This window comes from Homo sapiens, chromosome 13 (genome assembly GCF_000001405.40).
Source record: "Homo sapiens chromosome 13, GRCh38.p14 Primary Assembly".
Classification (NCBI taxonomy): Eukaryota; Metazoa; Chordata; class Mammalia; order Primates; family Hominidae; genus Homo; species Homo sapiens.
The window spans coordinates 61,917,331-61,923,248 of NC_000013.11; the positions used below are offsets into that span (position 1 = coordinate 61,917,331).

The window sequence follows — 5,918 nt, forward strand, 5'->3', positions numbered from 1 at the left end:
GCAAGTCTTGAACTGAATTTAAAACATAAAATCTTATTTGATATTGTAATTTTTGCAAAGATGTTTTAGCTACTGCATCAATACAACCAATACTCATTTTTATTTTTTAAGGTGAAGTTTTTTTCTATTAAGATAGCTTTATGTAAAACTTCAGTTTGTCCGATTTTCAAAGCATGTGTTAAATCCCAATAACAACGTAAAAAAAAAAATTGGGAGCAAGGGAAATATGGTTCTTGAGAAATGTTGGATGAAATAAATAAAATAGTATTTTTAGTGTTCTTCATGTATAATCAGTTCAGCTCAATGAAATACTGACCTCAAAGGGGAATTAAAGGATGCAAGGCTTCCTAGATGCTCTTTCTGAGGATCATCTTGCAAACATGTTTTGAAAAACACTAGGCTAATTCACTCAATTTGGGACCATATTGTGAGACAGTAAGTCATGAATGCCCTGTATTAGTCCATCTTTACACTGCTGATAAGGACATACCAGAGACTGGGCAATTTAAAAAAGAAAGAGGTTCAATTGGAATCACAGTTCCACATGTCTGCGGAGGCCTCACAATCATGGCAGAAAGCAAAGAGAAGCAGGTCATATCTTAAGTGGATGGTGGCAGGCAAAAAGAGAACTTGTGCAGCAGAACTCCTGTTTTTAAAATCATCATATCTCCTGAGATTTGTTCACTATCATGAGAACACACTGGAAAGAACCGTCCCCATAATCAATCACCTCTTACCAGGTTCCTCCCGTGACATGTGGGAACTGCTACAATTCAAAATGAGATTTGGGTGGGGACAACCAACCATATCATTCCACCCCCAAGCCCCTCCCAAATCTCATGTACTCACATTTCAAAAACAATCATGCCTTCCCAATAGTCCCTCAAAGTCTTAACTCATTTCAGCATTAACTCAAAAGTCCACAGTCCAAAGTCTCATCTGAGACAAGGCAAGTCTCTTCCACTTATGAGCCTGTAAAATCAAAAGCAAGTTAGTTACTTCCTAGATACAATGAGGGTACAGGCATTCGGCCAATACAGCCATGCCAAATGGGAGAAAATGGGCAAAACAGAGGAGATACAGGCCCCATGCAAGTCCAAAATCCAGCAGGTTAGTCAAATCTTAAAGCTCCAAAATGATCTTCTTTGACTCCATGTCTCACATCTGGGTCATGCAGATGTAAGAGGTGAGTTCCCATGGTCTTGGGCAGTTCCGCCCCTGTGGCTTTGCAGGGTACAGCCTCCCTCCCTGGCTGCTTTCATAAGCTGGCATTGAGCGTCTATGGCTTTTCCAGGTGCACGGTGCAAGCTGTCATTGGATCTCCCATTCTGGGGTCTGGAGGACAGTGGCTCTCTTCTCACAGCTCCACTAGGCAATGCCCCAGTAGGGACTGTGTGGGAACTCTGACCCTACATTTCCCTACTGCACTGCCCTAGCAAAGGTTCTCCATGATAGCACCACCTCAGTAGCAAACTTCTGCCTGGACATTCAGGTGTTTCCATCCATCCTCTGAAATCTAGGCGGAGGTTCTCAAACCCCAGTTCTTGACTTCTGTACACTGTCAGGCTCAGCACCATGTGGAAGCTACCAAGGCTTGAGGCTTACACCCTCTGAAGCCATGGCCTGAGCTCTATGTTTGCACCTTTCAGCCACAGCTGGAGTGGCTGAGACACAGGGCACCAAGTCCTTAGGCTGCACACAGCAGGGGAGCCCTGGGCCTGGCCCACAAAACTACTTTTTCATCCTAGGTCTCAAGGCCTGTGATGGGAGGAGCTGCTGTGAAGGCCTCTGACATGCCTTGGGGACATTTTCCTCATTGTCTTTGGAATTACTATTCGGCTCCTCATTACTTATGCAAATTTCTGCAGCTGGCTTGAATTTCTTCTCAGAAAATGGGATTTTCTTTCCTATTGCATTGCCAGCCTGCAAATTTTCCAAGCTTTTATAAAAGCTCTGCTTCCTTTATAAAACTGAATGCCTTTATCAGCACCTAAGTCATCTCTTGAATGCTTTGCTGCTTAGAAATTTCTTCAGCCAGGTACCCTAAATCATCTCCCCAAGTTCATAGTTCCACAAATCTCTAGGGTAGGAAAAAAATGTCGTTAGTCTCTTTGCTAAAACAAAACAAGAGTCACCTTTGCCCCAGTTACCAACAAGTTCCTCATCTCCGTTTGAGAGGACCTCAGCCTGGATTTTATTGTCCATATCATTATCAGCATTTTGTTCAAAGCCATTCAACAAGTCTCTAGGAAGTTCCAAACTTTTCCACATTTTTCTCTCTTTTTCTGAACCCTCCAAACTGTTCTAACCTCTGCCTGTTTTGCAGTTCCAAAGTCGCTTCCACATTTTTGGGTATCTTTTTAGCAGCACCTCACTCTACTGGTACCAATTTACTGTATTAGTCCATTTTCACACTGTTGATACAGACACAGCCAAGACTGGGCAACTTACAAAAGAAAGAAGTTTAACTGGACTCACAGTTTCATGAGGTTGGGGAGGCCTCACAATCATGGCGGAAAGCAAAGAGGTGCTCGTCACTTCTTATGTGGAGGTGGAAGCCAAAAAGAGAGTTTGTGCAGAGAAACGCCTGCTTTTAAAACCATCAGATCTCAAGAGACTCATTCACTATCACGAGAAGAGCCCAGTAAGGACCTGCCCCCATAATTCAATCACCTCCTACGAAGTTCTTCCTATGACGTATGGGAATTGTGGGAGTTACCATTCAAGAAGAGTTTTGGGTGGGGACCCAGCCAAACCATACCATACCTAACTCTTGGCTTTTCTTCCCCATTTTGTTTTATTTTCTCTAGCTACATATCTCACTATATTTAACCAACATATATGACCCACTTCACTGATACTTGATGTAAATTTTCTTTCTATAATTTTTAAATTTCTTTTTTCCTTAACACCCATGCAGTATTAGTAAAAAAAAGTCTTGGTTTGGCCCCTATACTATTAAATTTCAGCTCAGCTGCAAATGAGAAAAATATTACTTAGGATAAAAACAATGATTTAAATGACATAAAATAACTTTTCTTCCTTTTGCAAAAATCTGAGTAGGTGGCACAGACATTCATGGTGCCAGGTAATTTTTATTCATTTCTCCTTATTCTTTCTCTGTGAATGACTTTGAAATCATCATCCGTTATGGTTGCTACCACCATCACCTGCATTTCAGCTGCTAGGAACGAGACAATAGGTAGACAAGGAAAAGAATAAATATTACACATAGTTCTTCCGCTTATATTCCCATAATAAACCCTTTTGCCTATAAGGTATGATATAGCTGGAAGAGATACTTAGAAGTATCTATTCTTGTTAACAAGGTAATCAGCTGAAATATAATGTGGTACAGAAATTATATCCAAATTTATCATATTCTTGTTGTCTACTGAAAAACAGATTATTGAATACGTGGTAAGCACCAGAGAGAAAACTAAAAGAGATTTAAAATGCTCAAAATTAACCAAACCTGAAAATATACCAAGTCATGAAAATTGCTCCACTTGTCACCTACATTTTGATATTAACAGGTCAATTCAGTTTTCATCTTACTTGGCCCCTATCTCTCAGTTTGTTTATCTTTCTCTTTATCTCCCAATCTCTTTATTTGGGAGTGTTTCAGGGATTAGTCTTTGATTCTCTTCTCTTTCACCTACATTTACTACCTTTGTGACTCCCTCTGGCCTCATAGATGTACATGTCACCAATGTGCAAAGGACATTTAAAAAATATCTCCTCCAATCTCCCGAGTCACATATTCATCTATTAATACTTACTCTAGCAGAGAGTGGTGGCGCACGCCTGTAATCCTAGCACTTTGGGACAAGGTGTGCAGATCACCTGAGTTCAGGAGTTTGAGACCAGCCTGGCTAACATGGTGAAAACTCATCTCTACTAAAAATACAAAAAATTAGCCGGATGTGGTGCCAGGTGCCTGTAATCCAAGCTATTTGAGAGGCTGAGGCACGAGAATCGCTTGAACTCAGGAGGCTGAGGTTGCAATGAGCCGAGTTTGTGTCACTGCACTCCAGCCGGGGCGACAGAACAAGACTGTCTCAAAAACAAAACAAAACAAAACAAAACAAAAAACTTATTCTACATCCACATTTTACGTTGTAATGGATAGTCCAACCTTACCATGCCTATAACAATCTCCCAATATTCCTCTAAAAATTGATATTTAAATATCATCTAATATTTTCTTACCTCACTTGTTGGAAACTTTATTCTTTCTGTTGCACAGGACAAAAATCTTGGAGAAATCAATTTCTCACTTTGGCTCCTGCTCCTTATCCAATCTGCTGCAATTACTATTGTCTGCCTTAAAATATACACAGAATCTTACTCCATCTCACCGAATCTACCACTTCCTCTGCAGACAAAGTAACTTTTAGCTCTTCTCCATACTGCATCAATGTATTCTGGTTTTACACTTGCCCCCATATGTTCAATACAGCCACCTGGATGACACTGAAGAAATGTAAGCCACATTAAGTCACCTTGCTCCACATCCTGCAGTGGCTCCCTATGTTATTCACATTAAAAGTTCAATGCTTAAAATGACCTCCTGGGCTTTCCCATTGTTACTTACATTACTTCTTTCCTACTATCCCCTTCTTTCCTCTCCCCACCCTGACCACACTGACTACCACTCTGTTTCTTGGATACATCCATCTGGGACACTTTTGAAACAAGTGTTCTGCTCTGCCTCTTTTCTCTATCTGAAATACAATTCCCTCAGATTTTCACATGTCTACCATTTTTTAAAATTTTATTTTATTTTTAGTTCTGGGATACATGTGCAGGATGTGCAGGTTTGTTACATAGGTAAATGTGTTCCATGGTGATTTGCTGCACCTATCAACCCATCACGTAACTATTAGGCCCTGCATGCATTAGATATTTTTCCTGATGTTCACTCTCCCCCTGCCACCCTGCCCCCGCAAGGCCCAAGTGTGGGTTTTTCCCCTCCCTGTGTTCATGTGTTCTCATTGTTCAGCTCCCATTTATAAGTGAGAATATGTGGTGTTTGGTTTTCTGTTCCTGTGTTAGTTTGCCGAGGATAATGTCTTCCAGCTCCCTCCATGTCCCTGCAAAGGACATGATCTCATTCATTTTTATGGCTGCATAGTATTCCATGGTGTATATGTACCATATTTGCTTTATCCAGTCTATCATTGATGGGCATTTGGGTTAATTCCACGTTTTGCTATTTTGAAGAGTGCTGCAATAAACATATGTGTGCATGTATTTTTATACTAGAATGATTTATATTCCTTTGGGTATATACCAAGCAATGGGATTGCTGGGTTGAATGGTATTTCTGGTTGTAGGTCTTTGAGGAATTGCCACACTGTCTTCCACAATGGTTGAACAGATTTACATTCCCACCAACAGTGTAAAAGGATTCATATTTCTCCACAGCCTCATCAGCATCTGTTGTTTCTTGACTTTTTAATAATGGCCATTCTTACTGGCATGAAATGGTATCTCATTGTGGTTTTGATTTGCATTTCTCTAATGATCAGTTACGTTGAACTTTTTTTTTCATGTGGTTGTTGGCCACATAAATGTCTTTTTTTGAGAAGTGTTTGTTCATGACCTTTGCCCACCTTTTCATGTGGTTGTTTATTTCTTGTAAATTTATTTAAGTTCCTTGTAGATTCTGGATATTAGACCTTTGTCAGATGGATAGATAGCAGACATTTAATCCCATTCCGTAGGTTGTCTCTTCACTCTGATGATAGGTAGTTTCTTTTGCTGTGCAGAAGCTTCTTAGTTTAATTAGATCCTATTTGTGAATTTTTTCTTTTGTTGTAGTTGCTTTGACATTTTCATCATGAAACCTTTACACTTGCCTATGTGCTGAATGGTATTGCCTAGATTTTATTCTAGGGTTTTTATAATTTTTG

At 40.1% G+C, this 5,918-nt stretch overlaps 1 annotated feature.

Annotated features, from left to right (window-relative positions):
• Positions 4,295-4,845: an enhancer, noted in NCBI's record as "OCT4-NANOG hESC enhancer chr13:62495758-62496308 (GRCh37/hg19 assembly coordinates)". NCBI's record gives its function as "activates a minimal SCP1, AML or CMV promoter by ChIP-STARR-seq in primed H9 embryonic stem cells {active_cell/tissue: H9 hESC(primed)}" and the evidence as "EXISTENCE:reporter gene assay evidence [ECO:0000049][PMID:30033119]".